The sequence below is a fragment of the Homo sapiens genome, chromosome 1 (assembly GCF_000001405.40).
Source record: "Homo sapiens chromosome 1, GRCh38.p14 Primary Assembly".
Classification (NCBI taxonomy): Eukaryota; Metazoa; Chordata; class Mammalia; order Primates; family Hominidae; genus Homo; species Homo sapiens.
The window spans coordinates 44,767,791-44,781,147 of record NC_000001.11 but is presented as its reverse complement, the minus strand read 5'-3'; the positions used below and the strand labels follow the sequence as shown (position 1 = coordinate 44,781,147).

The 13,357-nt window shown below is 49.6% G+C and overlaps 1 protein-coding gene, 4 non-coding genes and 1 pseudogene across 5 annotated transcripts, besides 5 other annotated features; 1 reads left to right on the top strand and 5 right to left on the bottom strand.

The window, feature by feature from the left end:
* RPS15AP11 (ribosomal protein S15a pseudogene 11) lies at nt 403-863 on the top strand (annotated as a pseudogene).
* Nucleotides 747-1,247: an enhancer, noted in NCBI's record as "H3K4me1 hESC enhancer chr1:45245573-45246073 (GRCh37/hg19 assembly coordinates)". NCBI's record gives its function as "activates a minimal SCP1, AML or CMV promoter by ChIP-STARR-seq in primed H9 embryonic stem cells {active_cell/tissue: H9 hESC(primed)}" and the evidence as "EXISTENCE:reporter gene assay evidence [ECO:0000049][PMID:30033119]".
* Nucleotides 1,248-1,748: an enhancer, noted in NCBI's record as "H3K4me1 hESC enhancer chr1:45245072-45245572 (GRCh37/hg19 assembly coordinates)". NCBI's record gives its function as "activates a minimal SCP1, AML or CMV promoter by ChIP-STARR-seq in primed H9 embryonic stem cells {active_cell/tissue: H9 hESC(primed)}" and the evidence as "EXISTENCE:reporter gene assay evidence [ECO:0000049][PMID:30033119]".
* Nucleotides 2,369-5,608, bottom strand: RPS8 (ribosomal protein S8). Its single transcript, NM_001012.2, has 6 exons — nt 5,548-5,608; nt 5,008-5,114; nt 4,374-4,473; nt 3,359-3,534; nt 3,019-3,148; nt 2,369-2,572 (listed from the first exon to the last, which is right to left on the bottom strand). The coding sequence occupies exons 1-6, from the start codon at nt 5,549-5,551 to the stop codon at nt 2,463-2,465; spliced, it is 627 nt and encodes a 208-aa protein (NP_001003.1). The 5' UTR covers nt 5,552-5,608; the 3' UTR covers nt 2,369-2,462.
* SNORD38B (small nucleolar RNA, C/D box 38B) lies at nt 2,690-2,758 on the bottom strand. The gene has a single exon (NR_001457.1). It is a non-coding gene; the product is annotated as a small nucleolar RNA, C/D box 38B (small nucleolar RNA).
* Nucleotides 2,899-3,410: an enhancer, noted in NCBI's record as "H3K27ac-H3K4me1 hESC enhancer chr1:45243410-45243921 (GRCh37/hg19 assembly coordinates)". NCBI's record gives its function as "activates a minimal SCP1, AML or CMV promoter by ChIP-STARR-seq in primed H9 embryonic stem cells {active_cell/tissue: H9 hESC(primed)}" and the evidence as "EXISTENCE:reporter gene assay evidence [ECO:0000049][PMID:30033119]".
* Nucleotides 3,236-3,306, bottom strand: SNORD38A (small nucleolar RNA, C/D box 38A). The gene has a single exon (NR_001456.1). It is a non-coding gene; the product is annotated as a small nucleolar RNA, C/D box 38A (small nucleolar RNA).
* SNORD46 (small nucleolar RNA, C/D box 46) lies at nt 4,559-4,656 on the bottom strand. The gene has a single exon (NR_000024.2). It is a non-coding gene; the product is annotated as a small nucleolar RNA, C/D box 46 (small nucleolar RNA).
* Nucleotides 4,985-5,274: an enhancer, noted in NCBI's record as "active region_945". NCBI's record gives its function as "activates an Ori minimal core promoter by ATAC-STARR-seq in GM12878 lymphoblastoid cells {active_cell/tissue: GM12878}" and the evidence as "EXISTENCE:reporter gene assay evidence [ECO:0000049][PMID:35858748]".
* SNORD55 (small nucleolar RNA, C/D box 55) lies at nt 5,210-5,283 on the bottom strand. The gene has a single exon (NR_000015.2). It is a non-coding gene; the product is annotated as a small nucleolar RNA, C/D box 55 (small nucleolar RNA).
* Nucleotides 5,355-5,564: a silencer, noted in NCBI's record as "silent region_817". NCBI's record gives its function as "represses an Ori minimal core promoter by ATAC-STARR-seq in GM12878 lymphoblastoid cells {active_cell/tissue: GM12878}" and the evidence as "EXISTENCE:reporter gene assay evidence [ECO:0000049][PMID:35858748]".

Genomic DNA, 13,357 nt, shown 5'->3' with positions numbered 1-13,357 from the left:
CAACAAGAAACCCCATCTCTACAAAAAAATAAAATGATTATTCTGGGCCCTGCACCACAGCTGTAGTCCCAGCTACTCAGTAGATTGAGGCTGCAGTGAACAATGATCGATCCGCTGCACTCCAGCCTAGTGTGAGATCCTGACTCTTGAAACTGAGGAACATGGCAGGTGGGGGCAGACAAGAGCTCAGTTTTGAAAATGCTGGCCTTTGGGAGCCCTATTAAAATATCCAAGCACAAAGCTGGGCGAGTGGCTCATGTCTATAATCCCAGCACTTTGGTAGGCCAAGGCGGGTGGATCACTTGAGGACAGGAGTTGGAGACCACCCTAGCCAACAGTGAAACCCTCTCTACTAAAAATACAAAAAGTGGCCCATAACTCCGTGCGCTCTCCCCTCCCGTCCTCTTTCCGCCATCTTTCCACGCCGTCACAATGGTGCGCATGAATGCCCTGGCAGATGCTCTCAAGAGCATCAACAATGCCGAAAAGAGAGGCAAACGCCAGGTGCTTCTTAGGCCATGCTCCAAAGTCATCGTCCAGTTTCTCACTGTGATGATGAAGCATGGTTACATTGGCGAATTTGAAATCACTGATGATCACAGAGCTGGGAAAATTGTTGTGAACCTCACAGGCAGGCTAAACAAGTGTGGAGCGATCAGCCCCAGATTTGATGTGCAACTCAAAGATCTGGAAAAATGGCAGAATAATCTGCTTCCATCCCGCCAGTTTGATTTCATTGTACTGACAACCTCAGCTGGCATCATGGACCATGAAGCAAGACGAAAACACACAGGAGGGAAAATCCAGGGATTCTTTTTCTAGGGATGTAATACATATATTTACAAATAAAATGCCTCAAGGACAAAAAAAAAAAGTGAGCTGGGCATGGCAGTGCACACCTAGTAATTCCAGCCGCTCAGGAGGCTGAGGCATGAGAATTGCTTGAACCCAGGAGGCGGAGGTTGCAGTGTGCTGAGATTGCACACCACTGTAATCCAGTCTAGGCAACGGAGTGACTATCTAAAAAAACCCAAAAAGCAGGCCGGGTGCGGTGGCTCACACCTGTAATCCCAGCACTTCGGAAGGCCGAGGTGGGCAGATCACGTGAGGATGGGAGTTCGAGACCAGCCTGACCAACATGGAGAAACCCCGTTTCTACTACAAATACATTATCTGGGCATGATGGTGCACGCCTGTAATCCCAGCTACTTGGGAGGCTGAGGCAGGACAATCGCTTGAACCTGGGAGGTGGAGGTTGTGGTGAGCCAAGATCCCGCCATTGCACTCCAGCCTGGGCAACAGAGCCAGACTCTGTCTCGAAAAACAAAAAACCCAAGTGCAAAGCTGGGTGTGGTGGCTTATGCCTGAAACCTAGCGCTTTGGGAGGCAAAGGTGGTAAGATTGCTTGAGCCCAAGATTTCAAGACCTGGGCAATGAAGTGAGACCCTGTCTCTACCAAAAAAAATAATTTAAAAAAATGGGTATAGGCCAGGCATGGTGGCTCACGCCCGTAATCCCAGCACTTTGGGAGGCCAAGGCAGGCAGATCATCTGAGGTCAGGAGTTCAACACCAGCCTGACCAACAGGGAAAAACCCTGTCTCTACTAAAAATACAAAATTAGCTAGGTGTGGTGGCGCATGCCTGTAACCCCAGCTGCTCGGGAGGCTGAGGCAAGAGAATCCCTTGAACCCAGGAGGCAGAGGTTGCGGTGAGGCGAGATCACGCCATTGCACTCCAGCCTGGGCAACAAGAGCAAAACTTTGTCTCAAAAACAAAACAAAAAGGGGTGTAGTGCCTATTGTCTCAGCTACTTGGCAGGCTGAGGCAGTATTACTTGAGCCCCGATGTAAAGGCTGCAGTGAACCATGATCATGCCACTGCACTCCAGCCTGGGTGACAGAGACTGTCTCAAAAAAAGAAAAAAAAAAAAAATCCAAGTGCAGATGTCAGGCAGGTCAGGACTAAAGATAAGTGTTTGACAGGGCAAGTTTAAGTCAAAGAAGTGACCCTTGGAGACCAAGCAAGGCAGAAATCACTGTTAATCTTACAATGGGTACAAGATCCTTAAAATTTTTTATAAGCAATATAGCCTGAGATTCTAATCATGACTCAGCCAGCACAATATTACTGAACCCCAAGGTTGGGATACCCCCTCATAGCCTCTGCCACATCCCTATCCCCACCAAAATGTGGTGAGAAATGTTCCCACTATAGACATAGCCCACATAATAAATCTGGCCTTCAGGGACATGGAGTTGAGAACAGGGACTTTACAGTGTGGTGAGCCTGGCTCAGGACAGTAGGAGGCAGAGGTTAAGGCAAGGGGTTGCAGCCACCCACCCAGATCAGTTTTGCAGGGCAAGGAAATAAAGCAGAGAAAACAGTCATATATTCAGGCAACATAAATGTGGGAACAAAACAATAAACACCTTTATTACATGGGTGAAGACAAAACAAGGATTTATTTGCCTTTGCGGGCCTTGATTTTCCTAAGATAGAACTCCAACTCTTTGCCCTCTAGCACATAGCCATCTGCTCGGCCACACTGTCCCGGCCTTGAAGCGATGCACGCTGCAAGAGAGTAGGTGATCCTTAGCACAACGACAAGGTGGCCCTACCCAAACCTCTCCACCCGCTTAAGAATCTCTGTGGGTTCAGGTACCCTGGGGGCAAGCATGAAGCCAGCTGTCTCCTCAGACACACTTTATCTTCACTTACTGTCAGTAGCAGAACTGGACAAAGTTTTCATCACTGAGACAGCCCCCTCAGCCTGGGCAGAGACTTCCCCAAATACAAAGACTCCAAGCACGGGCCTATGCAGACTCTTCTACCCAATGCTTCCCATTTCAGCTTCATACGAATAGGGTGACCAAACGTTCCCCTTTGTGCTCGCAGCCTGTTATCAGTGAACCCTTTAGACTGCATGGCTGGCAGTCAAAGGAACTGAGACAAGGGAAAAGTGCCTCGGCACACTCAATCTCTGCGACTCCCCACCTCCAACACAACAGCCTTCTCACCAAGAAGCTTGCCCTGCTGGAACTGCTCCTCCAGGAGACTGCTGATTTTGGCATTCTTTTTCCTTTCATCATATTTCTTCTGAATTTTTTTAGATCGTTTTTTGTTTAAAATCTCTTCTTCCTCAGGAGTCTGAAAAGGGGATACAAATATATGAGCTCAGGGAAGGAAGGCAGGCCCTGGGAGCTTTCTCGAACCCTGCACACCCCAGTGCTGGCCTTCCTCAGCCTAAAAGGCTCTCATCTCTCTCCCTTCAGTAGCAGAACTGGACAGAGTTTTCATCACGAGAAGGCTGGAGTCAGGCTGCCCTCCCCACAACCCCTACAGGGAAGTAACACGCACCAGCTTGGCTCCCTTCTTGCGGCCCAGGGGCAGCGCATAGTGGGACTCGTACCACTGTCGGTACGGTGTGCTGTCGATGAGCACGATGCAATTCTTCACCAGGGTCTTGGTACGAACCAGCTCGTTATTAGATGCATTGTAGACAACATCGATGATCCTTGTTTTACGAGTACAACCTGCTCACAGGAGAAATTTGGCATCAAGTAAACTGGAGGACAAATGGCCCTGGCACACTCCTCCAGGTTCTTCAGCCCCATGAGGCCTTAAGGAGAAATAAGGGAACTCTCAGCCTTTACAAGCCATGGGGCATCAGTTCGTCTTCCACAACCCCCTAACCCACGTTTCTAGTTATGTTTGGCAACCCGCAGTCTTTACCAGCCCCAATCTCTCAGGCTGCAGAGTTCAGAAAGATCAGAGCAGGTCGGGCACGGTGACTCACGCCCGTAACCCCAGCACTTTGGGAGGTCAAGGCGGGTGGATCACTTAAAGCCAAGAATTTGAGACCAGCCTGGCCAACATGGTGAAACCCCGTCTCTACTAAAAATACAGAAGCAGCCGGGTGTGATGGCACACGCCTGTAATCCCAGCTTCTTGGGAGGCTGAGGCAGGAGAATCACTTCAACCCAGGAGGCGGAGGCTGCAGTGAACCAAGATCACGCCACTGGCACTCCAGCCTGAGCAACAGAGACCCAATCTCAAAAAAAGAGATTGGAGCAGGACAGCCTGGGTGGAGAGAACTCCCCAGCTACCTTAAGATCTTTCAGCAAGGAGAAACTTCAAATGCCTTGGTCTAAGCCACAGACTACTTGCTAAAAGCACTTGAATCTTTTTTTTTACTGAGAGTCTCGCTCTGTTGCCCAGGCTGGACTCGAACTCCTGACCTCAGGTGATCCGCCCGCCTCGGCCTCCCAACGTGCTGGGCTTATAGGCGTGAGCCACCGCGCCAGGCCCACTTGGTGAATCTTAAGACCGTTTAGGTGCGTTTTCCCACCCACTCCCAAAGGGCCTCACTCACACTCTGAGCCCCAGGAGAAATTCCCCACGTCCAACCTCAGGGCACGGTATTTCTTGTTACCTCCCCGCACACGGACTGTGTGGATGCGGCGGGGGCCAATCTGGAAAACACAAGGTTACAGGAACTAGGTTACCAAGGAGAGCAAGGCAAGTGAGGGAGAGGAACCTGGGCCGGGAGGAGGCAACAGTCAGTGTAACTATGACAAGTCCTTGCATTGGCAAGTGGCACACAGGTGACCAAGACGGCCACAACCACGCCTAAGGATTCTTTTTCATCACCCTACTTGCCTCCAAGAGGAAAGCCTGACCCCAAATGCTGAAAATTAAGCCTCTGTAAAAAAAACAAGACTAGGCTTCTGACTATGACGCGAGGCGCCACCCTCTCCAGAAGCTCAAGTCCCCACACAGTATCCTTCTCTCTGAAATCCTAAGCTCCAGGTTTGGGGGCCTGAGGGAGCATTCCCTCTTTGGTACTTACTTATCCAACAGCTAAAGGGGGACAGGACACCCAGGCCCTACTACAGAGAAATCAGAGCCCAAGAAAGAACGCACAACTGTCACACGGAAAGACCCGAGCACGCTGGAGAGCGGGGGAAGGCGACCTCCCAGGCGGACAGGCCCACGCTCGCACCCACCTTGGTGTTGGCAGCTGGGCGCCCCAACTCATACTTCCGCTTCTTGTGGTAGGGCTTTCTCTTGCCCCCGGTTTTGCGGCGCTTGTGCCAGTTGTCCCGAGAGATGCCTGCATGTGGAAGCGGGGAAGGAAGCTTGAGCCACTGTGACTCGGTGCTAGCGACTCGCCAGCTCCCGGAGACCCCCGCGCCGGGCCGGTCGCACGCTCAGCTCTCCAAGGTTGGCTTCCCCACCGCGCACTCGGGAGTATGCAGCATTACCGAGTTGTCATCATACACGTGCGGCCAGGCCGGGGCCTCCTCCTCGCGGCAGCCATGTTGGCGCCGCTCGGAGCCCGCAGCCCGCGGCCCGGAACCCGGAGCCCAGAGCCTTCGCAGCCCCCAGAGACGGGCTGGGCGGCCGAAACCCGAGGGCCACCACTCCTCGTGGCTGTCCCTGGCCGGGGGTCGGGGCGTCTGGACTCCTCAGTAGGCTGTGAAGCAGGATGGGGCCTGATTGAGCTCAACCTCCCTTCACCCGCCTCAATGCAGAGCGACACTCACCCATCGCTCGGCGCTGGCTGGAAAGAGAAACCGCAAAGATTCACGGTTCGGTTTGTAAAACGCTGCCCCGCCCCTTTACTTTACGTTGTTTCTGAGCGCCGAAACAACGTCGGGCGACGAGACTTACGTGTCAGCTGCCGCGCCTAGGGCCACGAGCCTAGGAGGGTCTCGCAGGCTGCTGACCTCTGCCGACCCCCGGCGACTCGCCTCCGACCCTGGGCTGGGGGAAGGGGGTCTGCGGCGTCGGCAGATCTGGGCGTGTTTAGACTAGTTTCAGAGGCTGCTGCGGTCGTTTAGGATGAGATGTGGGTGCGGCTGCGTTGAAAAAGAGTGGAAGGCAATGGAATTGGAAACGAGTGTGGACTTGGGTTTTGTTTTGAAGGGTTTGGTGGTAGATTGGACATGGGGATTGAGGGAGAGGGCGGTGTCAAGGATTCCTAAGATTGTCACTTGATCAATCGGATAAATATTGGGGCCATTTACTGAGATGGGGTAGGCTAAGGTAGGAGCTGTTCTGGACACGTTCATTTTGAGATCTTGCTAAGTCATGTTGAGTGGGACTAACAGATAGGAAGCTGAATATTAATGACTGGTCATCCTTATAAGGGATCTGCACCGAAGATGTTATTTTGGGAATCGTTGGCTTATAAATGGTAATTAAAGCCACCAGAATGAACGGAACTTAGGAAGAGAGTATAAAGGAGGGATCAGCTAACTTTTCTGAGCTAGAAGGATATCTATTTTTTAATTAAAAAAAATTTTTAGGCCTGGCGCGGTGGCTCACGCCTGTAATCTCAGCACTTTTGGGAGGCGGAGGCGGGCGGATCACGAGGTCAGGAGTTCGAGACCAGCCTGGCCAACATGGTGAAACCGCGTGTCTACTAAAAAAATACAAAATTTAGTTGAGCATGGTGACGCACACCTGTAATCCCAGCTACTCAGGGAGGCTGAGGCAGGAGAATCGCTTGAACCAGGGAGCTGGAGGTTGCAGTGAGCCGAGATCGCACCACTGCACTCCAGTCTGGCGACAGAGCGAAACTCCGTCTCAAAACAAAACAAACAAACAAAACAAAATTAGCCGGGCGTGGTGGCGGGCGCCTGTAATTCCAGCAACTCCGTCTGGAGGCTGAAGAAGGAGAATCACTTGAACCGGGAGGTGGAGGTTCCAGTGAGCCGAGATGGCACCAATGCACTCACTCCAGCCTGGGTGATGGAGTAAAACTCTGTCTCAAAAAAATAAAATACACAAGTTATTATTGATTATAGTCACCCTGTTTTGCTATCAAATAGTAGGTCTTATTTATGATGATATTTTATTTTTGTACCCATTAGCCATCCCCACCATCCCCACTTCCCCCTACCCTCCCACTACCCTTTCTAGCCTCTGGTAACCATCCTTCTACTCTCTAGGACCATGAGTTCAATTGTTTTGATTTTTAGATCCCACAAATAAGTGAGAACATGCGATTCTCTTTGCATAAGTGTGTTTTTCTGTGCCCAGCTTATTTCACTTAACATAATGACCTTCAGTTCTACCCATGATGTTGCAAATGACGGGATCTCATTCTTTTTTATGGCTGAATAGTAATCCATTGTACATATGTACCACATTTTATCCATTCATCTTTTTTTTTCTTTTGAGACGGAGTCTTGCTCTGTCACCCAGGCTGCAGTGCAGTGGCATGATCTCAGCTCACTGCAACCTCTGCCTCCCAGGTTCAAGCAATTCTCCTGCCTCAGCCTCCTGAGTAGTTGGGATTACAGGCATGCGCCACCATGCTTGGCTAATTTTTGTATTTTTAGTAGAGATGGGGTTTCACCATGTTGGCCAGGCTGGTCTCGAACTCTTGACCTCAGGTGATCTGCCCACCTCAGCCTCCCAAAGTGCTAGGATTACAGGCGTGAGCAACCACACCTGGCGCCATTCGTCTTTTTTAACTTTAATTTTAATTTTTTTTGAGACAGTCTCGCTCTGTTGCCCAGGCTGGAGTGCAGTGGTGCGATGTTGGCTCGCTGCAACCTTCATCTCCTGGGTTCAAGCAATTCTCCTGCCTCAGCTTGCCAAGTAGCTAGGGTTACAGGCATGGGCCACCATGCCAGCAAATTTTTGTATTTGTAGTACAGATGGGGTTTCACCATGTTGGCCAGGCTGGTCTTGAACTCCTGACCTCAAGTGATCTGCCCGCCTACGCCTCCCAAAGTGCTGGGATTACAGGAGTGAGCCACCGCGCCCAACCTGATTTCCTTTCTTTTGAGTATATACCCAGCAGTGCAGGAACCTCCAAACTGTTCTCCATGGTGGTTGTACTAATTTACATTCCCAACAACAGTGTACGAGCGTTCCCTTCTCTCCACATCCTCGCCAGCATTTGTGATTGCCTGTGTTTTAGAAATAAGCCATTTGAACTGGGGTGAGATGATATGGTAGTTTTGATTTGCATTTCTCTGATGATCAGTGATGTTGAGCACCTTACATATGCCTGTTTGCCATCTGTATGTCTTCTTTTGAGAAATGTCTATTCAAATCTTTTGCCCATTTTTTGATCAGATTATTAGTTTTTTCCTGCTTAGAGCTGAGCTCCTTAAATATTCTGGTTGTTAATCCCTTGCCAGATGGGTAGTTTGCAAATATTTTCTCCCATTCTGTGGGTTGTCTCTTTACTTTGTTGATTGTATCCTTTGGTGTGCAGAAGCTTTTTAACTTGATGTGATCCCATTTGTCCATTTTTTGCTTTGGTTGCCTGTGCTTATGGGGTATTGTTCAAGGAATTTTTGCCCAGACCAATATCCTGGAGATTTCCCCCAGTGTTTTCTTGTAGTAGTTTCATAGTTTCATAGTTTGAGGTCTTAGATTTAAGTCTTTAATCCATTTTGATTTGATTTTTGTGCAGTGCTGTACATGTTCAGAGAAACTTCCCTAGCAACAAACTATAGAAATGATCCCTAAAGTATAGTGTTTAACATTTCTTATAAAGAATATGTAGGAGGCCGGGGTGGTGGCTCACGCCTGTAATGCCAGCATGTCGGGAGGCTGAGGCAAGTGTATCACGAGGTCAAGAGATCAAGACCATCCTGGCCAACATGTTGAAACCCCGTCTCTATTAAAAATACAAAAATTAGGCCGGGCGCGGTGGCTCACGCCTGTAATCCCAGCACTTTGGGAGGCTGAGGCGGGCAGATCACGAGGTCAGGAGATCAAGACCATCCTGGCTAACACGGTGAAACCCCATCTCTACTAAAAATACAAAAAATTAGCCAGGCGTGGTGGCGGACACCTGTAGTCCCAGCTACTCGGGAGGCTGAGGCAGGAGAATGGCGTGAACCCAGGAGGCGGAGCTTGCAGTGAGCCAAGATAGCGCCACTGCACTCCAGCCTGGGCGACAGAGAGAGACTCCGTCTCAAAAAAAAAAAAAAAACAAACCAAAAATTAGCTGGGTGTGGTGGTGCGCACCTTAGTCCCAGCTACTTGGGAGGCAGGAGAATCGCTTGAACCCGGGAGGCGGAGGTTGCAGTGAGCCAAGACCACGCCGTCACACTCCAGCCTGGCGACAGAGCGAGACTCCATCTCAAAAAAAAAAATATGTAGGAGCCAGGCATGGTGGTATGTGCCTGTAGTCCTAGCTGCCCGGGAGGTTGAGGCTGTAGGATTGCTTGAGCCTGCAATTCAGGGTCACAGTGAGCTATGATCATGCCACTGCACTCCAGCCTGGGCAACAGAGCAAGACCCTGTCTCAAAAAAAAAAAAAAAAGAAAAGAAAAAAGAAAATAATTGACCTAAGCAGCCTCTCCAGCTGCCTATTAAAAAAAAAAAAAAAGAAAGAAAAAAATACAAGAAAAAACATAGGTCCAAGGCTTTAGGAATATCTACATTTCGGCTGGGTGCGGTGGCTCACGACTGTAATCTCAGCACTTTGGGAGGCCAAAATGGGCAGATCACCTGCGGTCAGGAGTTTGAGACCAGTCTGACTAACACGGCAAAACCCCGTCTCTACTAAAAATAACAAAATTAACCAGGCGTGGTGGCACACGCCTGTAATCCCAGCAACTCAGGAGGCTGAGGCAGGAGAATCGCTTGAACCCAGGAGGCAGAGGTTGCAGTGAGCTGAGATCGCACCATTGCACTCCAGCCTGGGCAACAAGAGCGAAACTCCATACCCACCCCGCAAAAAAACAAAGGAATGTTGTCATTTCAAGGCCAGATAGAGAAAGATAGCTGGCAAAGGACACAGAAAGAGAAATTAGAGTGACTAGAGGAAAGCCAACACAGGGTGCTGCCGTAGCTTAATGCTGCTGTGAATGCTAGTTAAAATGAGACTAAAAAGTGATTATTAGGCCAGTGCGGTGGCTCACGCCTGTAATCCAGCACTTGGGGATGCCAAGGGGGTGGATCACCTGAGGTTAGAAGTTCGAGACCAGCCTGGCCAACATGGCGAAACCCCATCTCTACTAAAAATACAAAAATTACCTGGGTGCAGTGGTGGACACCTATAGTCCCAGCTACTCTGGAGGCTGAGGCAGGAGAATCGCTTGAACCTGGGGGGCAGAGGTTGCAGTGAGCCGAGATCACTCCACTGCACTCTAGCCTGGACGACAGGAGCAAAACTCCGTCTCAAAGAAAAAAAAAAAGGTGATTATTGGATTTAGTAACCCGAAAGTCCTTGGTGATATTGGCGAGAGCAGTTTCTGTACAGTACAGTGGGAAAAAACTTGAAATAGAATGGGAAGTTAAAAAATCCAATGTATGTAGACAATTATTTTGAGAGGTATGACTTTAAAGGGGAAAGAGAGAATTAGGTTGTTGGCTGGAAAGGAATGTAGAGCAGAAGGGTAGTGTTTTCTTTTTTTTTTTTTGAGACGGAGTCTCACTCTGTTGCCCAGGCTGCAGTGGTGCGATCTTGCCTCACTGCAAGCTCTGCCTCCCGGGTTCATGCCGTTCTCCTGCCTCAGCCTCCTGAGTAGCTGGGACTACAGGTGCCCAAAACCACGCCTGGCTAATTTTTTGTATTTTTAGTAGAGATGGGGTTTCACCGTGTTAGCCAAGATGGTCTCGATCTCCTGACCTCATGATCAGCCTGCCTCGGCCTCCCAAAGTGCTGGGATTTCAGGCTTGAGCCACCACGCCCGGCCTTTTTTTTTTTTTAATTTTAGACACAGGGTCTCATTATACTGCTCAGGCCACAGTTCTGAGTCTGCTTTCTAAAGCAGCAACACTCTCTCATCTTTCTCTACCCACTTACTACCTATCATTTGTTTACATGCACATTATCTGTCTTCTCCACTGAAATACTATGTGCATAAGGGTAGAAACTTAGTCTTATTCACTGCCATATTTCTAACACCTATACATAGAATAATGCTTGCTATTTAATAAGTACTCAATAATTTTATTTTTTTTGGAGACAGAATCTTGCTCTGTCGCCCAGGCTGGAGTGCAGTGGCACAATCTCAGCTCACTGCAAGCTCTGCCTCCCGGGTTCACACCACTCTCCTGCCTCAGTCTCCTGAGTAGCTGGGACTACAGGCGCCTGCCACCACTCCTGGCTAATTTTTTTTTTTTTTTTTTTGTATTTTTAGTAGAGACGGGGTTTTACCATGTTAGCCAGGATGGTCTTGATCTCCTGACCTTGTGATCTGCCCGCCTCGGCCTCCCAAAGTGCTGGGATTACAGGTGTGACCAACCGTGCCCAGCCTTTTTCTTTTTTTTTTTTTGATACAGGGACTGGTTCTGTTGCCCAGGCTGGAGTGCAATGGCGCAATCTCGGCTCATTGTAACCTCTGCCTCCCAGGCATAAGCCATCCTCCCACCTTACCCTACCAAGGAACTGGGACCACAGGCACATGCCACCACGCCTGGCTCCTTTTTGTATTTTCTGTAGAGATTGGGTCTTTTTTTTTTTTTTTTTTTTGAGACAGAGCCTTGCTCTGTTGCCCAGGCTGGAGTGCAGTGGTGCGACCTCAGCTCACTGCAGCCTCTGCCTCCTGGGTTCAAGCGGTTCTTCTGCCTCAGCCTCCCGAGTAGCTGGGATTATAAGCATGCGCCACCACGCCCAGCTCATTTTTGTAGAGACAGGGTTTCACCAGGTTGGCCAGGCTGGTCTCCAATCTGGCCTCGTTTTCCGCCCATCTTGGCCTCCCAAAGTGCTGGGATTATAGGTGTGAGCCACAGCACTCAGCTCATTTTTGTAGAGACAGGGTTTCACCAGGTTGGCCAGGCTGGTCTCCAACTCTGGCCTTGTTTTCTGCCCATCTTGGCCTCCCAAAGTGCTGGGGTTATAGGCATGAGCCACAGCACCCAGCTGAGACTGAGTCTCATTTTGTTGCCCAGGATGGTCTTGAACTCCTGAGCTCAAGCCATCTGCCCGCCTCGGCCTCACTCAATAAATATTTAAATGGCACTAAATATTCGAGCAAATTATTGTTCTACTCACCACATTGTATTTGCTTGGTTTTCCCAGGTTTAATGTACCATATTAATGGAGTAAAGGAGTAAAGGAAGAAACAAATGGAGTAAAGGAAGAAACAAAACCACCTGATCACTTCAAAACACAGAAAAAGCATTTGACAAAATCCAATACCCTTTGGCGATTAAAAGACTCAAACTAGAAATAAAAGTGAACTGCTGGCATAGTGCAGTGGCTCATGCCTGTAATCCCAGCACTTTGGGAGGCCGAGGTAGGAGGATTGCTTGAGGCCAGGAGTCTCTGTGACTGAGGGCTTCCCACACATTTGCTTGTATGGTTCCTAGGTTAAACCTTTTAGTGGCACCTCATTACCATTCAGATAATCCATGCTCAATGACATGGAATATAGAGTTCTCCAGTTCCTAAACTGTTCATGCCCTATGACTGGGCCCTCAGTCCACTGGACAGACTTTTTTTCAAGACCAAATTGGTGTTTCCCTTTGGATCCTTCCCTGTCCAGCAAGTTAAGTGCTTTCATCAGCCTTTGTGTGAATGGTAATGAGGTATCACTAAAAGGTTTTAAGCAAATGTGTGTTCAGGGAGCCCTCAGTCAGGGGGACTCCTGGCCTCAACCCCACAGAATCTTTTAACAGGCCCTGGGCTGACTGTAATAGGGTGCCATCTTCTTTTTTTTTTAACACGGAGTTTCGCTCTTGTTGCCTAGGCTGGAGTGCAATGGCGCGATCTTCGCTCACCGCAACCTCCGCCTCCTAGGATTACAGGCATGCGCCACCACGGCCGGCTAATTTTTTGGATTTTTAGTAGAGACGGGGTTTCACCATGTTGGTCTCCAATTCCTGACCTCAGGTGATCCACCTGCCTCGGCCTCCCAAAGTGCTGGGATTACAGGTGTTAGCCACTACACCTGGCCTTTTTTTTTGAGACAGCCTTACTCTGTCTCCCAGGCTGGAGTGCTGTGGCACAGTCTCGGCTCACTGCCGCCTCCGCCTCCCGGGTTCAAGCAATTCTCCTGCCTCAGCCTCCTGAGTAGCTAGAACTATAGGTGCGTGCCACCATGTACCATGCCCAGCTAATTTTTGTATTTTTAGTAGAGATGGGGTTTCACCATGTTGGCCAGGCTGGTCTTGAATTCCTGACCTTGCGATCTGCCCGCCTTGGCCTTCCAAAGTGCTGGGATTATAGGCGTGGGCCACCGTGCCCGGCGGCCATCTTCCTTCTACTTAAGAGTTTCTGTTCCCAGGCCTAGTAAGCATCTCATAGACATCAAACAAGTCACAGGAGTCTTCAGCTTGTCATTGGAATTGTAGGTGTGGATATGGCCTCCTGGAAGGAGTACAGAATCAGTACTACCCAGAGGCCAAAGGTACAGTCATGTCCTTAGTCCCAAA

Coding starts and splice junctions, on each gene's coding strand:
- RPS8 (NM_001012.2), bottom strand. Junction 4,474..5,007: donor GCCCAGCTGCCAACACCAAG/GTGGGTGCGAGC, acceptor TGTGTTTTCCAG/ATTGGCCCCCGCCGCATCCA. Junction 2,573..3,018: donor CCAGCAGGGCAAGCTTCTTG/GTGAGAAGGCTG, acceptor ACTCTCTTGCAG/CGTGCATCGCTTCAAGGCCG.